Source organism: Homo sapiens, chromosome 8 (genome assembly GCF_000001405.40).
Source record: "Homo sapiens chromosome 8, GRCh38.p14 Primary Assembly".
Taxonomy (NCBI): Eukaryota; Metazoa; Chordata; class Mammalia; order Primates; family Hominidae; genus Homo; species Homo sapiens.
Window position 1 is genome coordinate 30,691,651 of NC_000008.11, and position 15,822 is coordinate 30,707,472.

General features: G+C 45.7%; 1 protein-coding gene across 6 annotated transcripts in view, besides 1 other annotated feature; it reads right to left on the reverse strand.

The window, feature by feature from the left end:
• Positions 1 to 15,822, reverse strand: part of GSR (glutathione-disulfide reductase) — a 49,781-nt gene that overhangs the window by 13,585 nt on the left and 20,374 nt on the right. For 4 of the 6 annotated variants that reach the window (NM_001195103.3, NM_000637.5, XM_047421727.1 and 1 more), the window contains 4 exons: positions 11,443 to 11,590; positions 8,431 to 8,485; positions 4,730 to 4,829; positions 1,319 to 1,405 (listed from right to left, as the gene is read on the reverse strand). In NM_001195103.3, the coding sequence (NP_001182032.1) occupies positions 1,319 to 1,405; positions 4,730 to 4,829; positions 8,431 to 8,485; positions 11,443 to 11,590 (390 nt within the window). The remainder of the gene's footprint in view (positions 1 to 1,318; positions 1,406 to 4,729; positions 4,830 to 8,430; positions 8,486 to 11,442; positions 11,591 to 15,822) is intronic. The other 2 variants (NM_001195104.3, NM_001195102.3) reach the window with 1 other exon arrangement.
• Positions 11,168 to 11,714: an enhancer, noted in NCBI's record as "NANOG hESC enhancer chr8:30560335-30560881 (GRCh37/hg19 assembly coordinates)". NCBI's record gives its function as "activates a minimal SCP1, AML or CMV promoter by ChIP-STARR-seq in primed H9 embryonic stem cells {active_cell/tissue: H9 hESC(primed)}" and the evidence as "EXISTENCE:reporter gene assay evidence [ECO:0000049][PMID:30033119]".

Sequence of the window (15,822 nt, forward strand, 5' to 3'; positions counted from 1 at the left end):
AGCCTGAGCAACAGAGAGAAATTCTATCTCAAAAAAAAAAAAGATAAAAATTAGATTCCATAATATTTCCTAAAAAATAAATATAAATCTAAAAATATTAAGGATGTGTAATAAGACACCTGAGCACAAAAATCAAAGTTTTAAAATCCAAATTTAAAAAATCAGGGGCCGGGTGTGGTGGGTCACACCTGTAATCCTTACACTTTGGGAGGCCAAGGTGGGCAGATAGTCTCAGCTCAGGAGTTCAAGACCAGCCTGGCCAACATGGCTCAACCCTATCTTTACAAAAAATACAAAAAAATTAGCCAGGCGTGGTGGCATGTGCCTGTAGTCCCAGCTACTTGGTGGGGGCAGAGGTGGAAGGATTGCTTGAGCCCAGGAGGTTGAGGCTGCAGTGAGCTGAGATTGCACCAATGCACTCCAGCCTGGGTGACAAAGTGAGACACTGTCTCAAAAAGAAAAAAAAAAAATCAAAGTTCATCTAAATTCAACTGCCAGATTTCTAATATTTTACCCTTGACTTCAAGGCTGAATGTAAAATACAGCTTTTTTTTTTTTTTTTTTTTTTTTTGAGATGGACTCTCGCTCTTGTTGCCCAGGCTGGAATGCAATGGCACAATCTCAGCTCACCACAACCTCCACCTCCTGAGTTCAAGTGATGCTCCTGCCCCGAGTAGCTGGAATTACAGGCATGCGCCACCACGCCCAGCTAATTTTGTATTTTTGGTAGAGATGGAGTTTCTCCATGTTGGTCAGGCTGGTCTCAAACTCCCAACCTCAGGTGATCCGCCTGCCTCGACCTCCCAAAGTGCTGGGATAACAGGTGTGAGCCACCACACCCAGACTTTTTTTTTTTTTTTTTTTTTTTGAGACGGAGTCTCGCTCTTGTCGCCCAGGCTGGAGTGCAGTGGCACAATCTCGGCTCACTGCAACCTCCACCTTCTGGGTTCAAGCAATTCTCCTGCCTCAACCTCCAGAGTAGCTGGGATTACAGGTGCACACCACCACGCCCAGCTGATTTTTGTATTTTTAATAGAGAGAGGGTTTCACCATGTTGGCCAGGCTGTTCTCGAAGTCCTGACTTCAAGTGTTCCGCCCACCTCAGCCTCCCAAAGTGCTGGGATTACAAGTGTGAGCCACCGCACCTGGCTAAAATACAGCTTCTTAGGAGGAAGGAAATAATAGGGAGTACCCTAGAGGTGGAATATATGGACCGGGGTAGACATAGTGTTTGTGTTTTTAAACTAACTGGGCGAAGCCACAAGCAGAAAGTGTGATTGACTGGGGGCCGCGTGCATGCCTGGGCTTGGCACTGTACCTGGGAGAACTTCAGCACCTCCACGCCAGCGTTCTCCAGCTCCTCCGTGCAGTTGGTGCTGATCATTGAATCAAAACTTCTAAGTACCTGCATATCAACATAGGGATGGGTAATGCGAGAGGAAGAAAACTTGAGCAAAGACACACCACAAACTTGGGAGGGAAACTTCAGCATTATCTCTCCCCTAATTATTTCCTCCTTACTTATGGCCATATTGGGAGTGGAGTATTAATAAATTCCCTATTTTCCTACATCACCACCACCATCTGCAATACATATGACTTCACCAACTCCTGTCCTACAGTTAAATGGACAGCCATTGTCCACTGTCTTCTCCTCACAAAGCTTGCTTCTCTTTTCCTTAAGTCCAGGGAACAGAAATTCTCTTTCCACTTTTCGTATCTCAAGGTCTGCTTTCCCTCTGATATGATTGAAGGGAAGATTTACTAGCAAAATCTTGTCTAGCCATAAATCTCAACAGTATGGCCTTGGAGATATATCTGTGACCATCCACATGTGGAGTTCAGGTGGGAGGTCATGAGTTATTCACAGAGTAGTTCTTTTATTTTTATTTTTTTGAGAGGGAGTCTTGCTCTACCACCCAGGCTGGAGTGCAGTGGTACCATCTCAGCCCACTGCAACCTCCGCCTCCTGGATTCAAGCAATTCTCCCGCCTCATCCTCCCGAGGAGCTGGGATTACAGGCGCCCACCACCATGCCTGGCTAACTTTTCTATTTTTAGTAGAGACGGGGTTTCGCCATGTCGGCCAGGCTGGCCTCGAACTCCTGACCTCAGGTGATCCGCCCACCTAGGCCTCCCAAAGTGCTGGGATTATAGGTGTGAGCCACCATGCCCACCCACAGAGTAGCTCTAAAATGGAGTTAACACTGGGAAAAAAAGGGAGAATGAACTTGGTGCATTTGGGATGGGAGAGGGCAGGAAGCCCAAGTAGATGTGGCTCTCTGCAAAGTAGCCAATTTTACAGATGCAAGAATTACCCCCTTTATTGACAGACTGCTGCAGTTTATTTACTTATCTATATATAAATTCAAGCTAGGAACTCCTCTACCTTTCCCCATCCTTCTAATTTGCTGGATATATTCTAGCAAAATAATACTTACCTATGAAAAAATATTATTCAGGACCTCAATCTCCTGGAGCTAATTATATAACCAGTTTCAAAGCCACAGAGAAAGTTCCTTAAAGTACATACTGCCTAGGATTCTCAGAATCCCTGTCTCCCTCCATCTGCTCACATAAGAATTAGAATCATAGCATCTTGGTAGTCAGGGATCTGATAAATTCTGTCCCTGCAGAACTAGGCCCCAAAGGCATTATGTGGCTTGCCTAAGTCACAAGTTTGTTAGGGACAGTCAGCTGCCCAGGCTAGAGTGCAGTGGCACAATCTTTGCTCACTGCAGCCTTGACCTCCTGGATTCAAGTGATTCTCCTACCTCAGCCTCCCAAGTAGCTGCAACTACAGGCGTATACCACTACACCTTGCTAATTTTTTAATTTTTTGTAGTAGAGATGGGGGTCTCACTATGTTGCCCAGGTTGGTCTTGAACTCCACCTGCTACTTGGGAGGCTGAGGCAGGAGGATAGCTTGAGGCCAGGAGTTCGAGACCAGCCTGGGCAACATAGTAAGACCTCATCTCTAAAAATATATAAAAAGTAGTCAGGTGGCGCATGCCTGTAATCCCAAGCACTTTGGGAGGCCGAGGTGGGCGGATCACTTGAGCTCAGGAGTTTGAGACCAGCCTGGGCAACATGGTGAAACCTCACTGGGTGTGGTGGCATGTTCCTGTAGTCCTGGCTATTTGGGAGGCTGGGGTGGGAAGATCGCTTGAGCCCAGAAGGTTGAGGCTGCAATGAGCCATGATGTGCCACCGCACTCTAGCCTGGGCAACACAGTGAGACTCTGTCTCAAAAAAAAAAAAAAAAAAAAATTAGTCAGGGCATGGTGGCCCACACCTGTAGCCTCAGCTACTTGGAAGGCTGAGGCAGGAAAATCCTATGAGCTCAGAAGGCTGCAGTGAGCTATGATCATGCCACTGTACTGCAGACTGGGTAACATAGCAAGACTCTGTCTCTTAAAAAAAAAAAAAATTTCAAGTGTATGATCTACAAGATTCCCTTTAATGTAAGCTCGTTCGACCTGCAGCCTGCAGGCCGTGTGCGGACCAGGATGACTTTGAATGTGGCCCAACACAAATTTGTACACTTTCTTAAAATGCTATGAGATTTTTTTGCAGTTTTTTTGTTTTGTTTTGTTTTTTGTTTTGAGACAGAGTCTTGCTCTGTTGCCCAGGCTGGAGTGCAGTGGTGCAATCTTGGCTCTCTGCAACCTCTGCCTCTTGGGTTCAGGCGATTCTTATGCCTCAGCCTCCCGTGTAGCTGTGATTAGTTGCCTGCCACCATGCCTGGATAATTTTTGGATTTTTAGTAGAGATGGGGTTTCACCATGTTGGCCAGGCTGGTCTCCAACTCCTGACCTCAAGTGATCCGCCCGCCTCAGCCTCCCAAAGTGCTGGGAATTAGAGGCGTGAGCCACTGTGCCCAGTCTGCAATTTATTTTTTTATTAGCTCATCAGCTATTGTTTGTGTTAGTGTATTTTATGTGTAGTCCAAGACAATTCTACTCCTTCCAGTGTGGCTCAGGGAAGCCAAAAGATTGGACACCCCTGCTTTAATGCAAAGAATTTAGTAAATTGTTTAGAATGAGTGGTAACAATCTAACATTACTTGATCATATAAAATTGATTTCCAGAAATTAATAAATTAACCTGGCGGGGCTTGGTGGCTCACACCTGTAATCCCAGCACTTTGGGAGGTCGAGGTGGGTGGATCACCTGAGGTAGGGAGTTCGAGACCAGCCTGGCCAACATGGTGAAACCCCATCTCTACTAAAAATACAAAAATTAGTTGGGCATGGTGGTGGATACCTGTAATCCCAGCTACTTGGGAGGCTGAGGCATGAGACTCGCTTGAGCCCAGGAGGCAGAGGTTGCAGTGAGCCGAGATGGTGCCACTGCACTCCAGCCTGGACAAAAGAGTGAGACTCTGTCTCAAAAAATAAAAATAAAAAAATAAATTAACCTAACAGTCTGTTTAATTTAGCTAATAGTTATGTTTAGGCCCCACGTCTCCCTATGAGGGCATCTCATGACTATCTACCACTTAGTGATGAAATTACCAGCCAATTTGACCAACTCAAAATTATCATCATCAACCAGCAACTGGGAGGGATATAGGCCAAATTCAGGTAACTTGGATACAGCACCATATGAAACCAACCAAATGACCCCCACACCTGCTTTGCACCCTAGTATTTAACGACAACATAAGAAAAAATTCTTCATTTTTTAAATTAACATCAAGAAAAGCGAAAAGAAAAAGGTGGCATTTACCTTATCATGCCGTATCATCAGTGATGTCTTAGAACCCAGGGCTGACAGGATCCCTGCCATCTCCACAGCAATGTAACCTGCACCAACAATGACGCTGCGGCTGAGACGCGAGCAGAGGGTTAGTATTCTTAAATAAACTAATTTTGGAATAATTTCACGTTTACAGAAAAGTTGCAGAGATAGTACAGAGATTTCCCTTATTATACCCCTTGATCAGTTTTCCCTAAAGTTAATATTTTACTTAATTAGGATACCTTTGTCAAAATAAGAAATTGACATTGGTACATTACTAATGACTAAACCCTAGACTGCAGATTTTCACTTTTTCCCTTTTTTTTGAGACAGGGTCTCTGTCACCCAGGCTGGAGTGTAGTGGTGTGAACACGGCTCACTGCAGCCTCAACCTCCAGGACTCAAGCCATCCTCCAGCCTCAGCCTCCTGAGTAGCTGGGACTACAGACATTCATCGCCACACCCAGCTAAGTTTTATATTTTCTTTTGTAGAGACAGAGTCTCACCATGTTAGCCCAGGCTAGTCTTAGCTCCTGGGCTCAAGCAATGCTCTTACCTTGGCCTCCCAAAGTGCCGGCATTACAGGTGTAAGCTACCTTGCCTAGCCCAGTTTTTCTATTAATCTTTTTTTTTTTCTGTTCCAAGATCCAATCCTGGATACCACTGCAACTTTAAGTAGAAAATATTCCTTTGAGCCTGGGCAATAAAGTGAGACCCCATCTCTACAAAAACATAAAAGTAAGGCCAGGCACGGTGGCTCATGCCCATAATCCTAGCACTTTGGGAGGCTGAGGTGGGTGGATCACCTGGTCAGGAGTTCGAGACCAATCTGGCCAACATGGTGAACCCCGTCTCTACTAAAAATACAAAAAGTTAGCCAGGTGCAGTGGTGTGTGCCTGTAATCCCAGCTACTCGGGAGGCTGAGGCAGGAGAATCGCTTGCCCTTAGGAGGCAGAGGATGCAGTAAGCCAAGATTGCACCAATGCACTCCAGCCTGGGAAACAGAGCGAGACTCTGTCTCAAAAAAACAAAACAAACAAACAAACAAACAAACAAACAAAAAACCCCTAAAAGTAAAAATAAAAATTATCCAAGTATGATGGTCCATGTCTGTGGTCCCAGTTACTTGAGAGGCTGAGGCAGGAGGATAACTTGTGTCTGGGAGGTGGAGGCTGCAGTGAGCTATGACTATACCACTGCAGTCCAGCCTGGGTGACAGAGCAAAAGACCCTATCTCAAAAGAAAAGAAAAATCCCTAATATCCCGTCACAGAAGGGAAATGTATTTTTCATTGTTTTTAAAGCTCTTTAGCCTCATTTCTTCAGAGAGGAAAAAACTCTGTGCAGAGACAATATCTCCCTATGTTGCCCAGGCTGGTCTCGAACTCCTAGGCTCAAGTGATCCTCCGGCCTGAGCCTCCCAAGTAGCCAAGACTACCAGCATGTGCCAACACACCCAGCTAATTTTTGTATTTTTTTTGCAGAGATCGGGTTGTGCTGTGTTGCCTAGGCTGGTTTCAAACTCCTGGGCTCAAGAAATTCGCTCGCCTCAGGCCTCCCAAAGTGCTGAGATTACAGGCATAAGCCACTGTGCCTGGCTTCTGGAACTGATCTTTCAGGCGGCTGAATCCCTAAAAGATTTCTCTTTACCTCGTTGCAGCCCCAGGACTACTCATGCACAGTATTCCACAAGGTTCATGCTCCATCCAAACAGAAGCCCCCTCAGTGCAAAAACTAAATCATGCTATCTTCCCTACATTATTTATGTACTTGCCCAGTTATTACTTATTCACCAACACCGTAACAAAGATAAAGTAGACTTGAAGAATCACGTATCAATCGTAAATTCATTTTCTTGTGTTTCAGAGCCTTTTGTTGATGACATGCATAAATGTAAATATTTAAAATTGCTAATGAACAGCTATTTATAATGAAACTTCTTTGAGGGTGAGTCCGGAATGAAATTACATTATCCAAACATAATGAGTCATGACTGTATGTCTCACTACATCCTCACATATGTCATGTCACTCAACCCTAAAATCAAACAATGCAGGGTGGATCACAGGGAAGGAAGGCTGTTCTCTAACACATTTCTGCGACCTGATAGCAAACCAAAAAAGATTGTATGGTTTTCTTAGAACTCCTCCAAGTCAGAAGCCTGCCTGGTCTGAGGTATCTTCAAGGGACATTTTCACCATCCTATGGAACTGCAAAGCAGCTCCCTGGTCCTTTCTGAACTGCCTCGTGCTGTCTGAACTGTCCATGACTCTGGGTGAATCAAAGTGAAGATAGGCTCATGGACTATGAGTCACTCTCCCTAAAAGCCCTTCTAAAAGCATAGGATTAGGACCTCAAACTGGATTAGCACAGCCCCTGAGGGAGCAGAAGAGTTGAGCAATGCAAACTCCACAGTGAGTGCCACTCAGAAGATGAATGAAGGCCAGTCCCTGCGCCAACACATTGGGTCCCTCCACCTGTTTCCAGGCATCACCTCTTCTCACAAGTGACAGGAGCATCCCTCTAAACTAGAAAGCCTGCAATGTACAGCAACTTCAAATCAGAGAAACAAACTTCCTCATGATCTTTTTGCCCCTCTATGAATCTAAATCCATTCAGCACGGTGGCCCATGCTTGTATTCCTACTGCTTTGAGAGGCCAAGGTGGGAGGATTGCTTGAGGCCAGGAATTCTAGACCAGCCTGGACAACAGAACGAGACCCCATCTCTACAAAAATTTAAATTAAAAAGTTAACCAGGTATGGTGGTGCACGTTTGTAGTCCCAGCTACTCGGGAGGCTGAGGTGAAAGGATTGCTTGAGCCCAAGAGCTCAAGGCTACCACAAGCCATGATGGCACCACTGCACTCCTGCCTGGGCGATGGAAGAAGACCCTGTCTCTAAAAAAAAAAATGTTTGTTCATTAAAAGAAAATCTGGCCAGGTGTGGTGGCTCACATCTGTAATTCCAGCACTTTGGGAGGCTGAGGCGGGCGGATCACCTGAGGTCAGGAGTTTGAGACCAGCCTGACCAACATGGAGAAAACCCACCTCTACTAAAAATACAAAATTAGCGGGGCGTGGTGGCACTCTCTCTCTCTTTCTTTCTTTCTTGGTGTGATCTTGTCTCACTGCAACTCCGCCTTGAGAATTCAAGTGATTCTCCTGCCTCAGCTTCCCGAGTAGCTGAGACTACAGGCCCACACCACCACACCCAGCTAATTTCCATAGTTTTAGTAGAGACAGGGTTTCACCATGTTGGCCAGGCTGGTCTCGAGCTCCTGACCTCAGGTGATCTGCCCGCTTCAGCCTCCCAAAGTGCTAGGATTACAGCCATGAGCCACCACATCTGGCCAAAACCAGCTATTCTATTCTAAAATACAAGCTACTTTAGACACATTCTTAATTGATGCTGTATTAAGTTGAAGAAAGAAGACAGTTTTAGGACTTTGCTATGCAGTCTTCAAATTACCCTGCATTTGACTTTGGCCTCTGATTGAAAGCATGAAAGATTTGAGGGATCTACTGAGGAGTTCTAGGAATGAGATATACAAGGTCATGAAAAGAGAAGCTGTAAGAGGAGGGAATTCAGGAAAGGCCTACATTAAATGCTTGGGAGGAGAAGACGAAGAAAAGTTACCAGGAGACAGTAAGGAAGAATGAGTCACTGAGGTCAGGTCAGGTTGGCTTACCCGGGCAATTCTTCCAGCTGAAAAAATCCATCGCTGGTTATTCCTAAGCTGGCACCTATGTAGAAAAAGGCAACATAGATCACACAAGACTGCTCTTTCTCTTGCAAAGTAATCACAACATTTTATGCCAAAAACCAAACACTTTCACAGCCAACATAGTCTCCGTTTTGACAAGTTTTGTTAAAGTCTCTGCTTGGAAAGCTGCCAACCAAATCCTCCCTGAGTTAACATTTTTATTTTCTCTCTAGAAACAGAAGCCATGATGGCTAAATAACTTTTACATTTCTCTGAAGAATGAAGATCTCAGTGGTCATGAACAGACTCTGTTGGATCTGTTCACCCTCCCACCCCAAGGGCAGGTAGGAACCCTGGGGCTCAGCTCATTACAGGTGTGAGACACCGTTCCTGCCTGAAAAGACAAATTTCTATGTAGTTCAAAATCTATGTGGCCTGGCCAACGTGGTGAAACCCTGTCTCTACTAAAAATACAAAAATTAGCTGGGCATGGTGGCACGCACCTATAGTCCCAGCTACTTGGGAGGCTGAGGCAGGAGAATCACTTGAACCTGGGAGGTGGAGGTTGCAGTGAGCCGAGATCGTGCCACTGCACTCCAGCCTGGGAACAGAGCAAGATTTTGTCTCCAAAAAAAAAAAAAAAAAAAAAAAAAAATCGACGTGGCCCTTTCCTCTCTGCTTATTCTTTCAAAGGTTTCAACCTATATGGTGTACACATTGAATTACAAGAGGTACAACCTATATAGTGAAATATACATGTAGTGAAAAGGAGATTGAAACCTTTGGATATAGGATAGCAGGTCCTATCTTGCAGGACTTCCAGATGCATTCTTCCAGGTTTGACCTTCTCCCCAGGTTGCAGTTCCATGTTTCTAACTATCTCGCCACACAATTTTACATTGGCTTCAAACTTAGTCTATTTAGAACTGAACCTTAATTTTATCTTCCAACCCATATCTCTCTCAAGTTTACCACTTCAGTTACCACCTGCTCCCAATAATGCAGACAAAGCCTTCAGTTGTCAACTGCTGATTCCTTCTCTCTGTAGCCCCCCTACCCTCATTTCTCATCAGTTATTAAATATATTAGGCCAGGTGCAGTGGCTCACACCTATAATCCCAGCACTTTGGGAGACTAAGACAGGCAGATCGCCTGAGGTCAAATGTTCGAGACTAGCCTGGCCAACATGGTGAAACCCCGTCTCTACTAAAAATACAAAAATTAGCTGAGTGTGGTGGCGCATGCCTGTAATCCCTGCTACTCAGGAGGCTGGGGCAGGAGAATTGCTTGAACACAGGAGGCAGAGGTTGCAGTGAGCCAAGATCCTCCCATTGCACTCCAGCCTGGGTGACAAAAGCAAAACTCTGTCTCTGAACAAACAAACAAACAAAAAAATATATATGTTGCATTTTGGCCGGGTGCAGTGGCTCACACCTGTAATCCCAGCACTTTGGGAGGCCAAGGTGGGCAGATCAACTGAGGTCAGGAGTTTGAGACTGGCCTGGACAACGTGGCAAAACCCCACCTCCACTAAAAATACAAAAAAAATTAGCTGGACATGGTGGTATGTGCCTGTAGTACCAGCTACTAAGGAGGCTGAGGCAGGAGAATTGCTTAAACCCGGGAGGCAGAGGTTCCAGTGAGTGGAGATTGCGCCACTGCACTCCAGCCTGGGTGGCAGAGCAAGAATCTGTCTCACAAAAAAAAAAAAAAAAAAAAAAAAAATTCACCTTGATAATGGATCTTATGAAGCTAATCCATGGAAAATTCAAAAGATGTATAAACTATGTTCACCATCCACAAAGTCCTTATAATCTAGCTGGGAAAAAAGAAAGATATCGCTTGAGCCATCTCCCATCTAAACGTCCTGGTCAAGGCCTTAGTGAGCTGTGATCACACCACTGCACTCCAGCCTGGACAACAGAGCAAGACCCTGTCTCAAAAAAATAAAATAATATAAAATAAAATAATAGGCCGGGCACAGTGGCTCACGCCTGTAATCCCAGCACTTTGGGAGGCCGAGGTGGGCCCATGTGACCAACATGGTGAAACTCTGTCTCTACTAAAGTACATAATTAGCTGGGCGTGGTGGCGGACACCTGTAATCCCAGCTACTCGGGAGTCTGAGGCAGGAAAATCGCTTGAACCCAGGAGGTGGAGGTTGCAGTGAGCTGAGGTTGTGCCACTGCACTCCAGCCTGGGTGACAGAGCCAGACTCTGTCTCTAAATAAATAAATAAATAAATAAATAATAAAATAAAATGCAAAAGAAGTTATGACCATCTCTGAGATTCCTTACAGCTTTAATCTTCTATAAGTCTCTACTTAAAAGAGAAAAATATGCATATAAAAGCTCACTTAGCTACTCAAGCTACATCCTTACAAGATTTCTCTCTCTTGAACAAAACAATAAATTATCACGTGTCTTGTAAATAACAACCCGTCTGACAAACTGAGGCTGGAAACAATGTATGCTAAGCTAAGAAGGAAAGAATGAGGCTTTCATTGATTTCTCTCCCTCTGTTACCTGCAATATGTCTGAGCCTGGGGCCAAATGAAATCTCTTGGCTGGGCACGGTGGCCTGCAATCCCAGCACTTTGGGAGGCCAAGGTGGGTGGATCACCTGAGGTCAAGAGTTCAAGACCAGCCTGGCCAATATGATGAAACCCCATCTCTACTAAAAATACCAAAACTAGCCAAGTGTGGTGGTGGCATGCCTGTAGTCCCAGCTACTTGGGAGGCTGAGGCAGGAGAATCACTTGAACCCAGGAGGCGGAGGTAGCAGTGAGCCAAGATCGTGCCACTGCACTCCAGCCTGGGCGACTGCATCACTAGCTACCACTAAGCCAACTGGAGTTAGGTTCTGCAGAGACCTTCTCCCATGGCCTGGCTCCAAAGAGAGAACTGGTTTAGGCAGATCCCCTGGCATGGCTTTTCAGGTTGAAAGCAACAGTAAACTCCTGACTGCTGTTAATGAGTACCTGTTGTATGACTCACCGGGGATCTGGCTCTCATGAGGGGTGGAGGGCATACCACCTGTGGCGATCAGGATGTGTGGGGCGGTGTACTTTTTCCCACTGACCTCTATTGTGGGCTTGGGATCACTCGTGAAGGCTGCATGGCCACGGATGATTTCTATATGGGACTAAAGAAGGAACCATGACATTAGCCTGTTCTTAGAATAAAAACAAAGACACCTACTGCAACTTATCAGAACTTTCATTTCTCTACTGAACATTTTGATTCTTGGTTTGCTGATGCCAACACAATTCTCCGTTTTTCAAGTTTCTGTAGAACTTCTAACTGGCAACCTATACTTAGGAAAGGGGTTGCCATTAGTTGCCGGAAGTATACAGTAAGATGAAATAGGCTGGGCACAGGTGGCTTACACCTGTAATCCTAGCACTTTGGGAGGCAGAGGTGGGTGGATAGCTTGAGCTCAGGAGTTCGAGACCAGCCTGGGAAACATGTCAAAACCCAGTCTCTACTAAAAATACAAAAATTAGCCATGCATGGTGCTGCACACCTGTAGTCCCAGCTCTTTGAGGGGCTGAGGCAGGAGGATTGCTTGAATCTGGGAGGTTGAGGCTGCAGTGAGCTGAGATGGCACCACTGCACTCCAGCCTGGATGACAAAGTGAGGGGGAGGAGGAGGAGAAAGAAGAAGAAGGAAGGAGGGAAGGGGAGCAGGGGAAGGAAGAAGGAGGAGGAGGAGAAGAGGGAGGAGGAGGAGGAAGAAAGAAAGAAGTTAGAAGAAGGAAGGAAAGAAGAAAGAAGGAAGAAGGAGGAAAAAGAAGAAGAAATAAAAGTGCTAACTTGGGCCAAAACCCAGAGACAAAAAAGTATATGCAAGGCACCCCCGTAAGAAAGATGACATCTTTGCCCCCAAGAATTGAGGGCGAAAGTTCCTTATGTGCAATGTAATCACATTACAGAATGGTGTGTCTGGCCTGGGCATGGTGGCTCACATCTGTAATTCCAGCACTTTGGAAGGCCGAGGCAGGCAGATCACCTGAGGTCGGGAGTTCGAGACCAGCCTGACCAACATGGAGAAACCCCATCTCTACTAAAAATATAAAAATTAGCCAGAAGTGGTGGCGGGCACCTGTAATCCCAGCTGCTCAGGAGGCTGAGGCACGAGAATTCCTTGAACCTGGGAGGCAGAGGTTGCAGTGAGCCGAGATTACGCCACTGCACTCCATCCTGGGCGACAGAGACAAGACCCTCTCTCAAAAAGACTGGTGTGTCTGGAGGAGAGGCAGAAGGCTAAGAAAGACAACAGGATAATGGTGAAATGAACAGAGGCAAGAGCAAGAGAGGAATACTCTGGCCAAGGGAGGGAAACGCAATGCTTGTGCTTTCGTAAAATGGGAAGAATACCACAAAAGTACATGACACTGAAGTTCTACGCTGGAGACGGTGAGAACTCAGACTCTTACTTTTGGATTTGCTCTTACTGGAATCCTCTGTACCCAGGCCTTCACTTAGGGGCTGCTGGCACGCTTTCGCCAGCCATGATACATGCAGGGGCATGCAAATGTGGTCAACTTACAAGAATAATGGAACCATGTAAGCATGATTACAAAGTGGAATGCTTTAACATATTGGAACGTGCTTGATTCTGAATTGAGTTATCTTCTTCTTTCCCTGCACCCTCCAGGCCTGTTCCTGCAGGTGCCAGGCTTAATCAAGCTGAATCAAGGTCAAAGACAAAATCCACAGGCCTCCAGAACACCATTCCCTCAGGTCTTAATGACTTCATCTGCAATGCTAGACAAAAAGGAGTATGGCTCGCGTGGCGATAGGACAGACACTAGTTCAGAGGAGGAAGCAGTGAGATTTTTACTTTCAGTTTCCAGGATATTAGATAGAAAGTTTCCTTTGCAATATAGAATTTCTGGGTCAACTATAGGTAATTCCTTCCCCATAAGATCACCATAAGCTATAGTACACACCAAGATTTCTAAGTATTACAAAATGCTGGTTCCTGAATAATTTTCCTACCTCTTTTGCAAAAGTATTTCAGTCAGCTCCATTAAAAAAAAAAAAGGCCAGATGCAGTGGTTTATGCCTATAATTCCCATATTTTGGGAGGACAAGGCAGAAGGGTTGCTTGAGTCCAGGAGTTCAAGATCAGCGTGGGCAACATAGCAAGACCTCATCTCTACAAAAAAATTTTTTTTTTTGAGACAGAGTCTTGCATTTTTGCCCAGGCTGGAGTGCAGTGGTGTGATCTCAGCTCACTGCAAGCTCCGCCTCCAGGGTTCACGCCATTCTCCTGCCTCAGCCTTCCAAATAGCTGGGAATACAGGCGCCCGCCACCACACCTGGTCAATTTTTGTATTTTTTAGTAGGGCTGGGGTTTCACCGTGTTAGCCAGGATGGTCTCAATCTCCTGACCTCATGATCCACTCGCTTCGGCCTCCCAAAGTACTGGGATTACAGGTGTGAGCCACCGCGCCCGGCCTCTACAAACGTTTTTTAAAAGTAGTAGGGTGTGGTGGGACAGTGCTTATAGCCCAAGCTACTCAGGGGGCTGAGGTGGGAGGATTGCTTGAGCCTGGGAGGTTAAGGCTGCAGTGAGCTGTGATCACGACAGTGCCCTCCAGTCTGCTCAAGAGAGTGAGATCCTGACTTCAAAAAAATAAAAAATAAAAATAAAAAACTTGGTGTGTTTTAGTACTGCCAGTGTTACTCTATACTCAGCCTTAAAATCTCCTGTGCTTAAGGACTGCAGGCCTTTAAATATTTTTCCCCCTGGATTGAGGATTAAGGTTGGAAAATTCACCCTCCAAAAAATAAACCCAATGAATAAGAATATAAAACTGTACACAGTTAGCTATGTATGAAGTAACTCGTCCTAAAAATTGGTTTATAAATATGCTGCTACTGAGATCACAGTGGCCTAATTATCATCAAGAATCTACTGATCTAAGCCAGGTGTAGTGGCTGATGCCTGTAATCCCAGCATGTTGGAAGGCCAAAGCAGGAGGATCACTTGAGCCTGGGAGGTCGAGGCTGTAGTGAGCTGAGATCATGCCACTGCACTTCAGCCTGGGTGACAGAGTAAGACCCTTTTCAAAAAAAAAAAAAAAAGTTACTGATCTAAATATAACCTAAGAGGGCCAGGAGTGGTTGTTCACCCCTGTAATCCCAGCACTTTGGGAGGCTGAGGCAGGCAGATCACTTCAGGCTAGGAGTTCAAGACCAGCCTGGCCAACATGGTGAAACCCTATCTCTACTAAAAATACAAAAAAAATTAGGCAGGTGTGGGGGCACGTGCCTGTAGTCCCAGCTACTCGGGAGGCTGAGGCACAAGAATTGCTTGAACCTGGGAGGCAGAGGTCGCAGTGAGCCGAGATCACATCACTGCATTCCAGCCTGGGCGACAGAGCAAGATTCTGTTTCACAAATAAACAAACAAACAAACAAACAAACAACCGTAAGAAATCTTAGAAACAGCAAAGTGAGACCACAAAGACAAATGAAGGGTGGCGGGAAGATATTGTCAAGGAAAAGGAGAGTTAAGTGATGCACAGGTTGTCAATGTCACCTACATGGTCCTGGTGGGAAAGGTGTGACATCCCAGCACTATGGGGGAAAAGCATCAGGATAGTGAAGGATGACATACAGTTGCTGGAGGCAAACACACCTCTGCCCAGTTTTCTTGATCAGATGTCATTCATAAAAACAACCTTCTGAATCCTAATTTGGTCTCTTAAGGAGGTCTTACTCTAGGCAAATAAACAATGGTAGGTTTGGCCAGGTGCGGTAGCTCACGCCTATAATCTCAGCACTTTGGGAGGCCGAGGTGGGCAAATCACTTGAGGTCAGGAGTTCGAGACCCCTGGCCAACATGGTGAAATCCCGTTTCTAGTAAAAATACAAAAATTACCCAGGCGTGGTGGTGCACACCTCTAATCCCAGCTGCTTGGGAGGCTGAGGCAGGAGAATTGCTTGAACCTGGCGGGAGGCAGAGGTTGCACTGAGCTGAGATTGTGCATTCCAGCCTGGGTGAATAGAGAAACTCTGTCTCAAAAAACAAACAAACACACAATGGCAGGTTTTCAGCTAGATAGCACTCCTCATTTTAATTAATAAACTGGTATACTGGTGCACAAAGTCTCTCGTATGTGACTTCTGAATCTAATTGCCAGGCCAGACCTACTCAAGGTGCAGCCATTAGGTGAGGCCTGGTCTGCCAGCTCTGGCACATGCCACCCTCTCTCTGCAGAAGAGACTGGCCATCTAGGTCAGAGGCTTCTGCTCTGACAGGTCAATTTCAATAATAGAAAAAGTAAGAGGCCAGGCACAGTGGCTCATCTCTATAATCCCAACACTTTGGGAGGCTAAGGCAGGAGTTTAAAGACCAGCCTAG